Here is a 19,104-nt window from a genome sequence, read left to right as displayed (position 1 = left end):
TATCTCAGTTACCAGACTGACTGTTGCAGTACTGTAGGATATGCAGTGCTTGCTTTCAAATAACCCTCATTTTACTTAATGATGGCCCCAAAGTGCAGGCTACACTAATTTGGTTGACTTGGACTTTAGAAAATAATGTCACTTAATGCTATTCCACCATAAAATCATAATAAAATCATGTATTTTGCAGCAACATGGATGGAACTGGAGATCATTATCTTAAATGAAACAAATCAGACACAGAAAGACAAATATCGCATATTCTCACACATGGGGGCTACATAATGTGTGCGCATGGACATAGAGAGTAGAATGATAGACCATGGACACTCAGAAAGCTTAGAGAGTGAGAGTGGGGTTGACAATGAGAAATTACTTAATGGGTACAGTTTATGTTACTCATGTGATGATGGCCTAAAAGCTCTGACTTGCTAATTATGCAATCTATGCATGTAACAAAGTCACACTTGTACCTCAAAACTTAAAAAATGAAATAAAATAATAATGTCATTTAGTTTCTTCCCAATACATTTAAACATAATTAAGCATCATAGCTAAAGAGTGCTTCTAAGTGATGAGGTTCAAGGCTCAAGTACAGAATAATATGATTCACTTGCAATTAGCACAAAGTACATTCACGCTAGGTTAAATATATCTTCTGTAATTACATTTACCTTCCCAATTTGTCCATGAATTTTGTGGAAGATGCCAATTTTCCCTCGGTACAGGCCAGGGAAAATTAGCCTGCACATGTCCCAAATTAATAAGATTTTGTTGTATGATGATCAATTATAGCAAGAAATTTAGGAAGCGTAGGAGATATTCAGGACATTGTCCTAATTCTTTTCTATGATGTAACCTGATCATCAGAATTTCAGGTAATATGTTAGTCAAGTAATGAATTATTGCCCCAACACACAATACTCCTAGGAATACATAATGCCAATAGAATAGAATAGAGCAAAAGTGAATCACTAATGCCACAGTCTTCAATGTTCAGAATATTCACAGGGTCATGTAGGGATTGGCTTAGGGCCTTGAAGAGCCCTGTGTGACTCACAGGTGGGATCACAATAGCAGGTCCATGTGCGCAGATGAGCTTTATATTGGTCAGAAATGTTCTTTTGGAAGGTCTTTGTTGGGTTTGATATAATCGGAAATTAGGAGTCCTATACAGCTATAGATCATCATTCACTTATCTATTCAACAATGGTGAGAACTCTCTCATTCTGTTCTACAGACTATGCAGGAACCTCCATTCTACTTGTTCTTTAAGACTTAGGTGCTATTACCTCCACAAGCAAACCTTTCCTGATGCTCTCTGCCCAAGCCACCTCTCCCTTAAGTTGCCCTCTTCTAAGATCCTGGCAGCATGTTTCTCATGTGTTTCATATTGTTGAATTTATTGTTAGCTTTTTGAAAGCTCTTTGGAGATATAATTGACAAGTAAAAATTGCATATATTCAAGGTGTACAAAATAATGTTTTGATATACATATACATTGTGAAATAGATGACCACAATCAAACTAATTAACATATCAATCACCTCACATAGTTATTCTTTTTGTGGTGAAAATACTTATGTTCTAGCAAATTTCAAGTGTACAATACAGTATTGTTAACTATAGTCACATTGCCATACATTCAATTTCCAGAACTTACTGATTTTGGATAGCTGAAACTTTATACTCTTTGACCAACGTCTACCCGTTTCTTCCTCATTCCACCCCATGCAACCACCATATAAGTCAGATCATGCAGTATCGGTCTTTGTGTGTCTAGCTTATTTCACTTAGCTTAATGTCCTCTGGGTTCATCCATGTTGTTATAAATGACAGGATTTTCTTCCTTTTAAAGGCTGAATTGCATTTTGAATAATGACATTTATATACATTTTCTTTATCCACTCATCTGTGGATGGGCATATAGATATTTCTGTATCTTAGTAGCTGTGAATAATGCTGCAATGTACATACAAGTGCAGATATCTTCAAGATAGTGATTTTATTTACTTTGGATATGTATCCAGAAGTGGAATTGCTGGTTCACAGGTGAGTTCTATTTTTAATTTTTTGAGGAGCCTCCATACTGTTTTCCATAATGGCTGCATCAAGTTACATTCCCACCAACAATGTATAAGAGTTCCCTTTACACCACATCCTTGCCAACACTTATCTTTTGACTTTTTGATAACAGCCATCCTAACAGGCATGAGGTAATATCTTATTGTGGTTTTCATTATCACTTCCCTGATGATTAGTGACGTTGAGCACCTTTTCAAAGACTACATTTGACAGTAATTTAGAATTCTCAGGTCAATTGGGAAGTTGGAACACAAAGGGAGAGGAAGAATGGTGGCTGTTGGATAGAGAGGGATGTAAGAGCTAAATTCTCATCACACATAACAGTGGGCCAATAGATAATATCTAAACTTTAAAAGTCAAGAAATAGTACTGTAACCACACCATTTAGAAAGATCTTTTTTCCTAGAGTTCTCCCTCCAAAATCTTCATCTTACTGTTCTCCTCTGCACTGATTGCTTTCTAGGCTTGCTGTACGGTTGCCATTTTTGGATTTATCTTGAATGCAATTCTGATTTTCCGACTTGAAATTCCTGTTTTCTGAATCTGTGTTCTCCTCTTTGTCAACTTCTTCTTCATGTTGGTGGTGCACATCCTCCAGACGTTACTTTAGAAAGGGTTCACGGACAATAAGGATTTTTTTGGGCTTTTCATATCTGAAAATGTTACTATTCCTTTGTTTCTGTTTGGTAGTTTGGCCAGGCATGGAATTCTAGGCTAAAAAACATCCCACTGAGAAATTTTAAGGCATTTCCCATTGTCTTCTGGCTTCCGGTGTTGATGTTGAAAAGTGTGATGCCATTTCGCCTCCTGAACCTTGGTATGGGAACCACATATTATTTTCCTCATTGGACGCTTTCAGTACCATTTTCATATCCCTAATATTCTGAGATTTCACAGTGATGTATCTTGATGTAAGCCTTACATTCACTGTTCTCAGCGCTGGTGGTCTTTTAATCTGGAGCTCCCTTCTGAAAGAAATTTTCTTATACTATTTCTTTGATAGTTTTCTCCCTTGTATTTCCTTCCTTCCTTCTTCTTTCCTTCCCTCCCTCCCTTCCTCTTTCTCTATTTCCCTTTCTTCCTGTCTTCCTTCCTTTCTTTTTCTTCCTTGTCTTTCTTTCTTTTCCTTCCTTCCTCTTTCTCTTTCTTTCTCTCCTTTCCTTCCTCCCTCTCTTCTTTCCTTCCTTCCTCCCTCCTTCCTTCCCTTCTTCCTTCCTTCCCTTCTTCCTTCCTTCCCTTCTTCCTTCCTTCTCTTCCTTCCTTCCCTTCTTCCTTCCTTCCCTTCTTCCTTTCTTCCTTTCTTTCTTTCTTTCTTTCTTTTTCTTTCTTTCTTTCTTTTCTTTCTCTTTCTCTCTCTCTCTTTCTCTCTCTCTTTCTTTCTTTCTCCCTTCCCTTCCTGTCTTCTTTTTTCCTTTTGAGACAAGACTTCTTTATGTTGCCCAGGCTGGCTTCAAATCCCTGGGCCCAAGGGACCCTCTCACCTCAGCCTCCCAAGTAACTGGGACTATAGGCACAGGCAACCATTACACCTGACTCCTTATGTTTTCTCATTTGTCTTTCTAAAATTTTTCTTCATTGAGTGGTAGATCTCCTGAATTGATCCTCTGTGTTATTATAGTTTCTTTAATGTCCATTTCTTTCACTTCTTTTTATAAATTTTTTTACATATCTTCAAGACAGGAGAACAAATTATTTGACTCCTTGTTCTACTTTACCTTCCAAACATTTTACTGAACGTTTTTCTAATTTTTTCTATCACATTTTAATTCTCAAGCTTTCACTCAACTTCTCTGACTGCTCCTGTTTCTTAGAATCTTGTTTTTATTTCAAACAGAATTTCTTCTCTTAGCTCTCTTGAGTATTTTATTTACAATAGTTCTTGTTTTACAATTTTTTAGTTCTATTCTGCTCCCTGTAGTTTCTATTCCTGTCAAATTTGTTTTTCCCCCTTTTTCTTTTTTTCTTTTTAAATTAGTGTGAATTGTCAGGCTGGAGACATTTCCCAAGTGTCTGAAGCATATTGGTTAACATGGCACTAAAAAGCCAATTGAAAGTTCTGTGTGGACAGCAGGGCTTGTTAATTGATCTCTTCACCTCTCCTCCCCTTCATCCACAAAAAAGAAGTCAAGATTTATATGTTTAGTTTCTTTAGAGGAGAATCTTCCAATATCCTGCTTGGAAAGCTTATGGCCATCAGTCCTGGATGCTGAGCACAGTACTCAGATTTTCACTGCATGAGTCTGTTTTCTGTTCTATTCTTGACTTTTGTTCACTTTAGTATTCCCAAATCTGGAGTCTCTGTCACTAAATTTTCTGGAAGATAACCCTTGTTTCTCCTGGTTGGAAGTGGGGGAGGCCTAATGACCAACTTTGTAGGGTGGGGTAGGGATCCAGGGGTCGAAGCATCCTGCTGCCTACCCTGCCTTCAGGGGTATTACCTGGTGACTCCGGGTTCTGAGCCTTTCTGAGGATTCAAGGAAAACCAACTTTACACTCTGTGGTACTCTCTCTGTATGCATTCACATTGTAGCTCCTTTTGTTATCTTTAGTTGACCACCATTGCTCTTGCCCCAAATTTGCTACACTTTCTTATCTGCTATTGTCTCCTGTCCTGAGAAAGTAAGATGAGGGTTTCTGTTTTTTAACACCTTTTAAAAGTTGGTGTATCATAATGGATTCAAAGAGGATAAGAGGACATAAAAGTTAATTTTCTGACATTTTAAGGACCTGCTATTACTAAACTGTTAAAATTAGACTTAGTATCTCATATATACACTCCCCCTTAAGTGTTCCTGAAGTAAACTAGTGCCCATGCTCCAGATGTTGGTGAGATTCTTTCTCTGTGTTTCCAAAGCATGTTAAATAATCCTGAAGGTTAATTTTATTTTCCAATATTTTATTCACGCCTAAACTGCATTGAAGGGCAAAAAAAATTGTGGCATGCCTGTGGTCCCAGCTACTTGGGAGGCTGAGGTGGCAGGATGGCTTGAGTCCAGGAGTTGGAGCTTGCAGTGAGCTGAAATGGTGCCACCACACTCCAGCTTAGGTGACAGAATCAGACCCTGTTATTTTGATCCACACAAGCTATTGGTCATGTGTGAAGGCAATGGAAAGATTTCCTCATAGATTCAAGGACTCGGGATATATAACTTCCCTTTAAAATTCCTTTAAGAAATATTCCCATTGACTGAAATACAAGTCAAAATAAAGAATTCCATTACAGTATAGATGTCATGCATAAAATAATGGTTCTGAGAGATGAAGCTGATAAAATTTAAAAAGATTCAAATATATTCTAAAAGTGGTAGGGGATAAAAATAGCAAAGAATACACAAGTGGTAGGCAAATTAAAAAATGGGGTAACAATACCTATATTTTCTGGTAATAAAGTGGGTGTGGTGGCTTGCACCTGTAATCCCAGCACTTTGGGAGACCGAGGTGGGTGGATTGCTTGAGCTCAGGAGTTCAAGACCAACCTGGGCAACATAGTGAGACCCTGTCTCCACAAAAAATACAAAAATTAGCTAGACATGGTGGTGCATGCCTGCGGTCCTAGCTACTTGGGAGGCTGAAGTAGCTAGGGGAGGTTGGCTTGAGCCGTGGAGTTGAATTTTGCAGTGAGCTGACATGGTGCCACTGCACACCAACTTAGGTGACAGAGCCAGATCCTGTCTTTTAAAAAAAGGAAAAAATTCAAAAATGAAGATAACATATTTATAAATGTTTATGTGCCATAGAAGAGATCATAGAAATGAATAAAACAAATACAGTTTTGCAATATGCAGATATGACAGAATAGGCATCATTACTAGTTTGAGGCTCTGATAGATTTCTCAGGCCTAGGTACTTAAGCAATACTGAAACGAGAAACAGCTTGTATAGACCATTTATGGTCCTGGAATAAATTGAAGAGGGATGCCTGAGCCCAAAGATACGATTCTCACGTCGCATTACCATATCAATTTCTGAATATGTTGTTTTGAGTTTTGTGCTTACTTTACTTTTTTATTTTCCTCTTCAGCTAAAAGTTTTGCCTAGAGCTCTTGAGCCTACTGATATCATTTTGATTGATATCATTTTGAAATGGAAGGAAATGGCTTGAAAAGACACAGGAAATACAATATGAACTGAACTCCCAATGCAAAAGGGAATCTCAAAGTTATAAAGGAAACACAGGTAGCTGGGTGACTTGATCCAGGTCATGTGGAGTGAGCCCTAACCTTTGCATGTCTCATAGGTAGACCTGCATGCAAACTCTGCAATTGGAGCTTTAATGGAGCATGAGTGGATGAATATCATTAATGGGTCAGTGAAGCATCTCAAAAATAGAACTCAACTGCAATTCCAATTTGGTTTCCATCACTTTCTTTCCCATAATGACGTGTTTCATCACTCATGCTCGCTGATTTTCCCACTGACTCTATGGCTTCAGCCTAAAATTATGCCTCTTATTTTTCCATAGAACTCACCATGAATTAATCTTGACATATCCCTCCTCCTTAAAAGGACTATAATTTTTTAAATGTCTTTTTAATAAGACTACCCTTCATAAAGATATAAATATTCGGCTGTGATCTGATTCTCCTTCACATAATCTTACGTGTTTGAGACCTGTGCATGTTAACCTGAATTTTCAGAATTGACACATTTTATTTCTATGAATCAATCCTTACGTATGTATTACTTTTCTCCAATAGAATAGAGTCCTTTTTCTCACTAATATTACCAACATACTCTCCCTGACATATGCATTTAAATTAAATTCATGATTAATTGAATTAATTGAGTGGAGAGGGAAAGGAAAGAAAAATAACTTTCAGACCACGTGTGGTGGCTCACGCCTGTAATACCAGCACTTTAGGAGGCCGAGGCAGGTGGATCACCTCAGTTCAGGAGTTCAAGACCAGCCTGATGAACATGAAGAAACCCCGTCTCTACTAAAAATACAAAATTAGCCGGGCATGGTGGTTCATGCCTGTAATCCCAGCTACTTGGGAGGCTGAGGCAAGAGAATCACTTGAACCCGAGAGGCAGAGGTTGCCATGAGCTGAGATCATGCCACTGCACTCCAGCCTGGGAAACAAGAGCGAAACCCCATCTCAAAAAAAAAAAAAAAAAAAAATCCATGATTATGTTGTGAGTTACCTAAGGGAAAAGAAGTGGGTCTCATTCATTTTATGCAATTCCCAGAGCCCAATAGCTTGCTAATTTGTTCTTAATTTAATTACAGTAAAAATTGAGTTCTTGTTTTGTCTCAATAAACTTGATGGCAGGTAAAGTGAGCAATCTGTTTTGGATTAAAAAATGAATTATTTGGCATTTTCTCTAATACAGGCTTTGGCTGATACATATAATATCAATTTTTTTGTTATTGCCCATACAATAGGAACTCAAACCATTTTACAAATAAATAATCAACAGTAAGAAATACTGAAAGGTCACAAATGTTTTTGATACCAAGAGAGTGTTTATTGAGATATAGTTACTCTACCAGACGTAATTCATTGCAAAGTCCAGACCACACTCGGCAATTGTAAGCTTAGAAGCCTGTTCCAATGAAATAGTGTGAGATATCTGGTCATCTGACTGCACACCAAGCATAGAAGTTGGAGGTTTTGTACGATATGCATTTAAATTTTTGCTTTTAAAATAGTTGCTTGGTGGAATGAACAATGAGCTATATAAATGTAGTGGTGGATCAGGGCAAGGCCAGGTCCAGTGGAGAAGGGGAATGAGAATGACTGGTACACTGACAACAAGGTGGTTGAACCAGGGCTGGTGGTCAGGAATGAAGTTCAACAGCAAGAGGATTCATAGGAGACTGGACCACAGCAGGTGGTCTGGTAGCAGACTGGACAGCAGCAGCTGGACACACAGCAGCCAGGGTGGCAGCAGCTAGAAGTGCAGCAGAAGGGTGGCAGCAGGAGGGCTGGTAGTACTGGGGATTATAACAGCTGGGCCTGGAGCAGGTGGACACACTGCAGCTTGAGTGGCAGCAGCTAGAAATGCAGCAGCTGGGGCAGCACAGGGACTGGCAGCACTGGGGCCTGCAACAGCTGGACACAGAGCAGCTGGGATGGTAGCAGATGGTTCTGCAGTAGGTGGTCTGGCAGCAACTGCAGCAGCAGCAGGTCTGGCAGAGGCCTTGGCCACAGCTCTATTCAGAGCAGACAGAGCTACAACAGAAGCTGACCATGGTGTCAGATGAGAATCGCAGATGACGAGCAGAAGGAGGCACTTCTTCCTGTACAGTGTGTCTCCATGTGGTTCAAGGAAGTAGCCACACTCACCAAGCAACAAGATAAATGGTCTTTGACCCACACAAGATTCACCGGAAATACTGATATCCTTTCAAGTCACTAAGTCTTTGGTCTTTCCCGCCTTGTAAAAAAGCTTGGCTCTTTATGCCATACTTCACAGAGCCCTACTCCTGATTCATCTTCTTGAGAATACAAAGTCGCAGTTATATTTGAATTTAGGCCACAGTCTTATGGATGGAATTGCACCCAGCAAGGAGTTGATGAGAAGGTCATGGCCTTGGACTCTTCTTGGCATCTTCCTAGAACATCTCAGGCAGTTTTGTTTTTAATAAATATAGATTTCTAGGCAATGCTCTTGGATATGCTGTGTCACTTGATTATTATCCTGAGTAGCTGGGATTACAGGCACCTGCCACCATGGCCAGCTAATTTTTGTATCTTTAGTAGAGACAGGATTTAACCATGTTGGCCAGGCTGGTGTTGAACTCCTGACCTCAAATGATCAGCCCACCTCGGCCTCCCAAAGTGCTGGGATTACAGGCATGAGCCACCACTCCCATCCCAAAATAGAATTTCTAATGAAATAGACATAATCTAATTTGATCTTCTAGAAGTCTTTTCCAAGCCTCACACAAAGATTATTAAAATAATTGATTCTCTACTTTGGTAGATTAGATTATTCCTTATTAATGTTTACTCTCCCCCCTCCTCCCACCCAACTCCAGAAGTATCCTCTCCCACCCTCTGACTTGGACTTTGCCATGTGAGTTGCTTTGACCAATGAGAAGGCATGACCCGAAGACTCAAAATGTGAGATTGTTCCCTTGGGCCTTTGTTCTCAGAGGAGGATGGCCCCTAAAATACCGGACACTCCATTAAAATGGAATTCCAGACAAACAACAAATAATTTTTAAATGTAAGTATACCCATGCATAATCAGATATAATTGTAATAAAATTATTTGTTGTTTTTCTGAAATTGACATGTAACTGGGGAACCTGTATTTTTATTTGCTAAATATGACAACTCTCATTCAAAAGAAAGTCCCAAACCAACCTGTGGGCAGAAGCTAAGGCCAACCTTAATCAACCAAACCCCAACTAACCTACAAATATATGACCAATAAATAAATACTTGTTACAATAAGCTATGAGAGTTTGTGGTTGCTTGCTATGCAGCAATAGCTGTCTAATTCAACCATGGTAGCAATGTGAAGCCAGCTTAATACACCAATCAATACACAAGGATGAACAGATGGCTTTCTACAAAGAAAATAAAAATAGAACAGTGGCCAAGTATTTGTGACAGGGTTGGTTTTATGGTAAATTTTGATAAATTTTCTGGAGGGGATAGTTAGTTAAATTTTTAGCTTTATCAATATAATGAGGATTAATGGATAGTGCAAAGTGAGCCTATTCAAATTAATTCAAAGGAGAATCTCATTTTCATAAGCCTATTTGTGAAAACACAGCTTTCGATTTAGACATGCTTGGATTTGAATCTAGACTGTTATCTAAGAGCCTACAGTTCAATGCTGTTCTGGTCAGGCTATGGCAGAAGCTCAAGCTGGAAGAGTGCTTCACAAAGGAGCCTCAGGCTCAGCCCGCTGCCCTCCCACAGAGGAATGGCAGGTGCCAGCCCCTTTATACTAGGATGAAGGCCAAGGTCCCAGAATCCCAAGGGCCTTTGCCCCTATCTGATGGCTTCCGCTACGCCTTGACTTGTGCAGACACCTGCATGGGGCTACTGTAGGTGTATCCCAGCAAGTATGTTACCCAGAAAACCACCATAAAAAGACTGGAGTTATATGTGGCCTGTGGCGTCCCCACTGATATCAACAGTGCCCAGGGCTCTCACTTTACCATATACAAAGTGCAGGAATCGGTGGAGGCCCTGGATATCCATTGGCATTTCTACCTGCCATACAACCCTATAGCAGCGGGGCTGATTGAATGGATGAAACAACCATTGAAGAAACAACTCTGGCAGGAGACGCCCTCTCTGGCTCTGTGGACACACTGCTTACCAGCACCCATCTGCGCCCTGAATGAAACTATCCAAATTAGATGTATCACTTTGCAAAATCACATGCCCTGGACGCTTAGTGTGGATCTTCTGCATTAATTAAAACTGAATGTTGTGTATATATATCCCTGATTACTCTCACAATGTAACTCAGGCCGTGCAGGCCCAAGATATCCCTGAATTAACAGGTGTGCTCTCATCTCCCCAGTGCACACACTCTTCTGGCTCAAGGACCTGATACCACCATCACGATCCAGGTTGACAGTGTAAGGGATGGTACCCCCCTCCTTTGCCTCAACCTGGGACTCAACCTGGGGCTATGCCCTTGCCATAGGACCTACCCACTGGAGAGCACATCATTACATGTGCCCGGAAATCACAAACCAGCCCCAGTTGGTACAGTTTTTTCACTCCATGGGGCAAGGGCGTAGAAAATGATATACAGATCACACCTATTTTACATCCTATTCCTCCTTGTACTTCTAAAATAATCAATCCTAGTCCCCACTTGTGCAAGGGAGTGATCATCCTGTCATTATGGGACATTACAATATCCACACTGTCTTACTGTGGCTGCAACGTGTTGCAGAAGTGGGCAATCCATGTGGTATTGCAAACCAGGCACAGGTTGCTGCTGGGGGTGGTGATCTCTCAGAACGACACAACTTCCTGTCTTGTTAGATGGCCTGACTTGCCCTTTCTTCTTTTTTTTTTTTTTTTTGGAGATGGAGTTTTGCTCTTGTTGCCCAGGCTAGAGTGCAGTGGCATGATCTCAGCTCACTGCAATCTCTGCCTCCTGGGTTCAAGAGATTCTCCTGCCTCAGCCTCCCAAGTAGCTGGGATTACAGGCATGCACCACCACGCCTGCCTGATTTTTTTGTATTTTTAGTAGAGACAGGGTTTCACCATGTTGGTCAGCTGGTCTCTAACTCCAGACCTCAGGTGTTCCACACGCCTTGGCCTCCAAAAGTGTTGGGATTACAGACGTGAGCCACTGTGCCCGGCCAACTTGCCCATTCTTCTACCCACTAGGTATCTCACCTGTCACCCATAGGTGGTGTACCTCTTCACCAACTGGGTGCAAATGGCGACCTTTCCCCAAAACAAAACAGACTGTTGCATCTGCAGGGAGCTGCCCTTCTCCTCCAGCATCAGCCTGCCATGGTGCATCCAAGCAGCTAACCTCAGTATCTGGAGCCATTTCTATACTTGGTATAATGACCCTCACCCATTTCCCTTTAGCAATAACCACACTTCATGTGATAAGTTTCCCACCATCAGAGATGAGACAACATATTTTCCACCTAGTATAGGAGCAGGTTAATGTCACCCCCACTGTGGGGTATTCTGTAGATGATGGGCCAGGGTGGACAACAGCAGTATAGATACAGCTTGTGGGCTGTGCACCCACATGTATTAAAAGGCATGATAATAGCATGCCACAAGCTAAAACCAGTAGTATGGGATGGCTACCCCCACAGTGTAATGTAATCTATTTCTTCAGGTAATAGACATGGAATATGACAGCAATGAAACCAATCTCTTCAGGTAACCAGTGATACTTGACTGCGACGACAGAGTGACTCTCCACCTGGGGGCCTACCACACCCCTTAGGATGGCTGTGGGCATGCGGCATCCACAGTTGGCCTTACTTACCCTATAACTGGACTGGTAGATGCACCTGGGGACATCCTCATTTGCTGGGATACATCGTGCCCAGTTTAGACACCATTCTTACTAACTGGGAAATTGTAAAAGCCAGGCACTGCTGGAAGCATGCATCCCAGTGGTTTTACCCGTTGGCCACTTTTGCCATGTCCCCCCCGCCACTCCCCCCACCACTCACCACCCAAGTGGTGACAATAGACATACAGCTGCAAGTTGAGGCCCTGGCTTAACATAGGGCTGCAGTCTTTAATGATATCTGCCATGATATTACTCTTCTCACTGAAGAAACTGCCCAAATTAGGTGTGTTACTTTGCAAAATTGCATGGCCCAGGACATCTTAACCGCTTATCAGGGCAGAACCTGTGCATTAATTAAAACTGAATTTTGTGTATATATCCCTGATTACTCTCACAATGTAACACAGGCCATGTGGGCCCTAGATACCCAGATTTCTGCTATAGAATCTCTATCTTATGACCCTGTAACCACATGGTTTAATCAACTCCTGAGTGCTTGGAAAAACTTTCTATACAGTACAATTGTTGTTACATTCATTATTCTTTTTTGTTGTAGTAGTTTATGTTGCTGCTGAAACATCTGGTTGCAATGCTCCTCTGCATATCCTAGCCCCAGGGAAATCTCAGAAGAATGGTGTGATTAGAATGTAAGGGCTATTCAAGGGTATGCTGAGGTGGAGGGTATGGCAGACACATCTGGCAGCAATAACTTAACTTAAGCATACCCTGAGAATGATCCTACAATCAAAGAAGAATGTATGCTTGGAGTTCTGAGCTAAGGATCTGGGAGTGGCCAACTTGGAGATCCACTCCTTATCTATGAAGGACATTTGAATCCCCACCTCATCCATTAGAACACAGGTCATACTGGGGATTGAGGCCCTTTGTTTTGGATTAAATGGAGGTTGTTAGGTGGAGGGTTCTAATGAAAATACTGTGTGAACTGCATGCTTTTTACAAATAATAGCAGTTCTCCTGTCCAGATACCACCACTGGACCACCCTTGTATGTAAGTTCCACTAATAAACCCTGCATCATGTTAGCTTTCTCCAGGTCCCTTCTCTAGCTCTCAGACACATTGTCATACTTAGTGGAGTCAATGGGGGTCCAGGATGACAATGTGTCATCTGGGCAAAACATTTCCCTAATTCTCTTCCAGTACCACTTCTAACCTTGCTGCTGAAAGGAAAGTTCATTACTTATTTTTTTAAATCTGTGTTTAATATGTATAAATGTAAGAGGTTCAAATGCAGCATTGTTACATGGATATATTGCATAGTGGCATGAAGTCTGGGCTTCTACTTTAATATATGTTTTCTTTCCTGTCTAAAGACCATGGTTTACTGAATCCAATGAGCATAAAACTCATAGTAGAGGCTACTTACTGCAGACTGAGGAGACCTGGATCTCAGACCTCATATGGTGACCTCATTGTGTGACCTTGGTACACTCTCAGGACCTCAGCTGTAGAGTGAGGGCATAGGCCTACATATTCTCCGCAATCCCTTCCCGGACTCTACAGATGCAACGACTAATTCCAAACAAATTACAAATATAATAATTGCAATGGATCCTTGAAGAGGGTTTTACAATCAAGGTAGAAGTTGAGTTTGGATTGGAAGGATGAGGAGGGCATTCCAGGTGAATGATGACACATCAAAACCAAGGCAGGAAAGCCCAGGTCCTAGTCAGGGGAGAGTGACCACACCAGTGGCCAGGGATCTGCATTTCGTGTGGTCCCTGCTCATATGAAAAACCACAAGCCTATCTTTAAGTGAGTCATGGAAGGAGCTATCTGTGAAGCAGATGACTACTGGTCTGCACTAGGATGATGCAATTAACCTGCTACCATCATGCCCATGTGCATTAATAAGGCAAGTCACTGCTTGGGTGCCGGTGATGGGAGCCTTTGAAGACAAGGAAGAACATGCTAATTTTAGCGCCAAAGGGCAGAGCGATTAGACACTAATTTAGAAAACACATTCTTTTCTCTCTTATGGGTTAGGAATATTTCAAAGGAAAATTAATCAGAAGTGAATCCAATGTCTAAATTTAGTGAGGATAAACAATACAAGAAAATGAGCGAATATTTGTGGTGTATGTACATGAATATGTATGAGGTGAAGAGTGACCAAAATACCATTAGTCAATGCTAAATCTTCACTTAATTGGCCAGAAGATGCACAAGAAAATGATCATATGTTGAAGGGTCATCAGCTCCCAGCCAGGGTATATAAAGGGCCCAGAGGGGGAGGAGGACATTCACACCTGAGAACATCCAGCTCCTCTCAATAGCCCAACCCACACCAGCCTCAGACACCACCATGACCGGCTCCTGCTGCGGCTCCACCTTGTCCTCCCTGAGCTACGGGGGAGGCTGCTGCCAGCCCTGCTGCTGCCGCGACCCCTGCTGCTGCCGCCCCGTGACCTGCCAGACCACCGTGTGCCGCCCCGTGACCTGCGTGCCCCGCTGCACGCGCCCCATCTGCGAGCCCTGCCGCCGCCCGGTGTGCTGCGACCCCTGCTCCCTGCAGGAAGGCTGCTGCCGCCCCATCACCTGCTGCCCCTCGTCGTGCACGGCTGTGGTGTGCAGGCCCTGCTGCTGGGCCACCACCTGCTGCCAGCCTGTGTCTGTGCAGTCCCCCTGCTGCCGGCCCCCCTGCGGCCAGCCGACCCCTTGCAGCACCACCTGCAGGACCTCCTCCTGCTGAGACCCCAATGCCCCCACAGAGCAATACACTGAAGCCTAAACATCTATCTGGTGTTTTTAAAAAGTTAAAAGAAAAATAGATTTTTTTTCACAAGGTGACAATAGTGATTTTTACCATCTGGATACAGCCTGGTGTAAGCAGACGTCCATTACCACCCTCACCCACATTTTCAGGTGTCTACATCAGCCTTAGTCATTATGGATAGTAAATCGACCTTTAAGAATTCCTGGGGTGGACTTTGCAAACACATTCTACAACCTGATGGTTTTTACTGCTCAAACTGTCACCATCATCTTTTGCAATGTGTTGCTCACTGTTGTCAATAAACTAATTTTTCCTGGCATAGCAGACTGCCCTGCTCCCTGATTTGTTCGTTAGTGCATGTTTATTAGCGTACACAGATAAGCAAGATTTTGGAACCTGCACAAGGGAAACAAAGCTCAACCTAAGCAAAACCTTATCCATAGAAATCTCATCTATTCAGTCATTCAGGAATTGTTTATCAAGGGACCTCCAGTTGACAGGTGCTGCCTGATTAGTGATGAACAAGCTACATGCCTTGTATCCAAGAAGCTTATGGTCTAATGGAATAGACAAAAGGAAAGACAATGTTCATGAAGAGGGGTAGAAGTGGGAATAGCATATGCCAAGCCCAGAATGACCACTGGTAGTAAACTGACCAGCACAGCGCATCTCATCTTCTTACCACAGTTCCTAGAGTAGCATTTTTCAAAGTGTGGCCCATGCGTCATACACAATAGAATCTCTTGCAATTGCCTATTAAAATGCACATTCTTAGGCCCCAAACCAAACCTAATGAATCAAAATCTCTGGGAGTGGGGCCCAAGGCTGTTTATTTTCTATCACTTCCATGTAATTCATTAGAATTTCAGGACCATTATTTCAGAGGAAGACCAGGATTTGAGCTCCTTGAGGGCTTAACAAGCATGGCCTGGAAGCCTTCCAAGAATAGTCACAAGGACAAGCCACAATGAAGACACCCAAAGTGAAGAAAAAAATGTAATATAATAATAAGTATGAAACAGCACCTGCTAAACTGTAATCAGAAGAATCGGTTTGGCAGAGAAGTGAATGTAAATGAATGTGCAAAAAAACAGTATCTTGAGTTTGTCATAGGTGGAATAAAATGACAACAAAAAAAGAGAGACAAAAAGTAAGAGATAAGGGATGAATAAAAAGTGAAGAGGGGAGGCAAGGCAATGAATAGGAGGAAGAGTGAAGAGGAAGATGATGGAGATGATGAGAAAGACAGAAGAGGAACAGAGACAGGCACTAGGATTCCTGGTACAAGTATTTGGTATTTGAAGATGTTACAGGAGAGCTAGGCCAGTCCTCAGATTACCCATGTGGCTAGGAAGTGTGTGCACATCAGGTGGTCTGCTGCCTGTCCTTTGCCCATCTCTATAGATCCATGTCTCACTGCTCCCCACTAAGATTCACTTCAAGCAACACTGACCTTATAGTTATTAAACATTTGCAGTTCCAAATGTTTCGCTTTTCCTCATGTTCTTTCACTTATCTGTTCTTTTACACACTCTTTCTCTTCACCTTCATCACCTACTTAACTCTGATTCATTTCCAAGATTCAATTCAGTCTTCTCCAGTAGTCCTGTCCCAACCCCTGTATCACACAAACACATGTGCAAATGCATACACACACACACACACACACACACACACATACAGGTTAGGAGCTCTCAGCAAGTTCCAATAGCTTACCTCCCTCCCCATAAGGCATTGTATTGAGATTATATGTTTTTTTGCCTCCAAGGAGGGGACCACAGTTTGTTTTTGGCTTCCAATACTGAGCTCAAAGTTTAATACGTAGCCGGTACTTAATTTCTGTTTGTTTAGTTGTCAAAATAAAAGGAAATTGTCTTTACCACAAGAATTTTAAAAGGTAGATAATTATTTAAAGAAAAAATTTTGGCATTAGTGTAACTTAACCTCTCTGACTCTCGAGTTTTCTCATCCGCAAAATGGGAAAAGCAACATTTACCAATGTAGATTGCTAGGGAAGTTAAATAACAATTATAACTTTTTATGTATGCAAGATGCCTGGCACATAGTTAAATGCCCAGTAACATTCATTTATATTCCTTGTGGAGCATTTGGACATCACTGTATCGAACAGGCTCAAAAGATGTGCTATCTACTACATATCAACTCACTGGGAATGGGAACAAATTCAGGGGAGGGCTTTACTAACCAAACTTAAATTGTAATTTTTTTTCAGGATAGTCTACATCTACCAGTAGGAATAGATTTTCTAATAAATATAATGAAGAAGGCAAAAAAAAAAACCCACAACAACTTGGCATCAGATTAAGGCTGTCTCAGAATGAAAATAATCTTTAAAAATTCATTCTACAAGTCCACAGGAATGAGTCCTAGATTATAGGATTTATGAATAGGAGTGCAGCATCAGGTAAAAGAAGGATTGAGCAACATGTAAGTATCTGATGGTTCGACTCTTTCTTTCACATTGAACCTTCCAAGGGAATTAAACAACTCAAAGCTGTAATAGACCTCAAAAGATTACTTTGCCTTCCCTGACTTTAGGCAAATGAATATCTAAAAAACTCAGATGAAATTTTTAAAAAAATTCTAGCAACAAATTCCACCAGTCCCCTGATCATTTAGTTTTTCTGTCTCTCACAACTAAACTCTTTTCTTTTCTAATTATATCTAATTAATTATATCCCTTTCTCTGTCTTCCATGTTTGTATGGATTTTATGATAAGCCAGCCTCTGAAGAACACCAGGCACCGAAGACTCTGCCCATTTTACAGATGAGGAAACCTGGCTAAGGGTAAGTCATTTACTCTAAGTTAGACAACTGCAAAGAGGTGGAGAAAGGACTGGAATCCTTCTTTATCTTCTCCATTTTCCTCCTGCCCTGTGCCCGTCAATATTCCCCATCCCATCCCTGACTCTTATGATTGGAGGATATTTTTAAGATTATTTCTGAGAACGAAGTCCTTAAGGAATGTATTTTCTAATTTTAGAATTTTAATAATTTTCCTAACATCTAGTGGCTTCCAGACTAGTTCCTAACAAAATATAATTCATAAAACTATTAAGAAGAGGGCATGGCCCACCATCACAAGAGGTCACCAACACTACATTCTTTATCTATCCAACTACAAAAATCTCACAAGTTATTTTCACTGTGCTTCAGATTTACTTGTTTCCATCCTGGTGATTATGCACTTGAAGAATGTGTGGAACTTGAATAACATGACTAAAAAAGTCCATGTGGTAAAGACCAGGGATACATCTCTTGTCCAATAGCTTAGGACTATTAATGTGCTACAGCAAGGGAGACCACATGGCTGAGGACCATGGGGCATCCTCCCAAACAAAGGAGGAGAAATGTTATTATAAAATGTTGAGGAATGGTGGGGTAAAATTACGTGACATAGTGTTTTCATAGGCTCAAGAAAAACAGGGCTGTGTATAAAAAATAATTAACACCAGACCTGAGCTGTGAAACAGACTTATGGTCCTCTTTCACTGGAAACTGTATAGTTGAGACAAATGGGGAATGTTGTGTCTGCAAGTCACTTGTCTGAAATTCTGTACCTGGGTTGGGTACTGAGGTTGCTTCTCTGTCCAGATGACTTAGATCCTGTCTAGGCAAGAGTGAAATGTTTCCTTCTTACTGATGTGGCTTGGAAGAGCAAGGTTTCTAACAGCCTATAATTTTAGAAAACAGTATTTCTTAGTACTGTGTTCTTTTGTTAACAAAAGCAGTGGATTTACAGACATATTTCTCTTTTTAGTTTGGCATCTCTGTATACATTCCAAAACAAAGAACAGAATGCTAAACCATGTATCAAGTGAGTACTTATTTTATTTCACTAAAGGGAATAAAACTTTTTAATAACTACTGCTACATGTTATCTATTTTGAGTGACTCCGAGTTGGAAAAAGACTGGGAGACATCACCAGTGTTTCTACTCCACAGAAGACCTGTGGTATTGCTAAATATTTGCCACTCTTTGATCCGTACGACTTTGGAGGAATTCATTTTGTAAATCTGGTCTTCCAAAAACTGTGATGGACTATGATGGATCATAGACTCAAAGGACTTCAAAGATCAGGGATATGATAGACCAAAGGGTGTATTTTTAAAAAGAGAAAACAAAACAAAACACACCTCAGAGGTAAATTTGCACTGAAGACCATCAGCATTCCTTGGACAATGTTATCTTTAATCTACCTTCCAACTCTAAATTTATTTTCTGTATTCCTATTCATCTTTGCTATGGCTGGAAAAGACAAAGCTATTTTATTGGTCACCAGCTAAACT

The 19,104-nt window shown here is 41.1% G+C and overlaps 1 protein-coding gene and 1 pseudogene across 1 annotated transcript, besides 2 other annotated features; one reads left to right on the top strand and one right to left on the bottom strand.

Moving 5' to 3' along the window:
- On the bottom strand, window positions 7,881-8,281 carry KRTAP2-5P (keratin associated protein 2-5, pseudogene; annotated as a pseudogene).
- Window positions 14,078-14,614: an enhancer, noted in NCBI's record as "H3K27ac-H3K4me1 hESC enhancer chr17:39221865-39222401 (GRCh37/hg19 assembly coordinates)". NCBI's record gives its function as "activates a minimal SCP1, AML or CMV promoter by ChIP-STARR-seq in primed H9 embryonic stem cells {active_cell/tissue: H9 hESC(primed)}" and the evidence as "EXISTENCE:reporter gene assay evidence [ECO:0000049][PMID:30033119]".
- KRTAP2-4 (keratin associated protein 2-4) lies at window positions 14,348-15,111 on the top strand. Its single transcript, NM_033184.4, has one exon. It carries the CDS (start codon window positions 14,382-14,384, stop codon window positions 14,766-14,768), a length of 387 nt encoding a protein of 128 aa, NP_149440.1. The 5' UTR covers window positions 14,348-14,381; the 3' UTR covers window positions 14,769-15,111.
- Window positions 14,615-15,152: an enhancer, noted in NCBI's record as "H3K27ac-H3K4me1 hESC enhancer chr17:39221327-39221864 (GRCh37/hg19 assembly coordinates)". NCBI's record gives its function as "activates a minimal SCP1, AML or CMV promoter by ChIP-STARR-seq in primed H9 embryonic stem cells {active_cell/tissue: H9 hESC(primed)}" and the evidence as "EXISTENCE:reporter gene assay evidence [ECO:0000049][PMID:30033119]".

This window comes from Homo sapiens, chromosome 17, assembly GCF_000001405.40.
Source record: "Homo sapiens chromosome 17, GRCh38.p14 Primary Assembly".
In the NCBI taxonomy this organism is placed as follows: domain Eukaryota; kingdom Metazoa; phylum Chordata; class Mammalia; order Primates; family Hominidae; genus Homo; species Homo sapiens.
The sequence above is the reverse complement of the archived record's forward strand: the minus strand, read 5'-3'. Positions and strand labels throughout refer to the sequence as shown.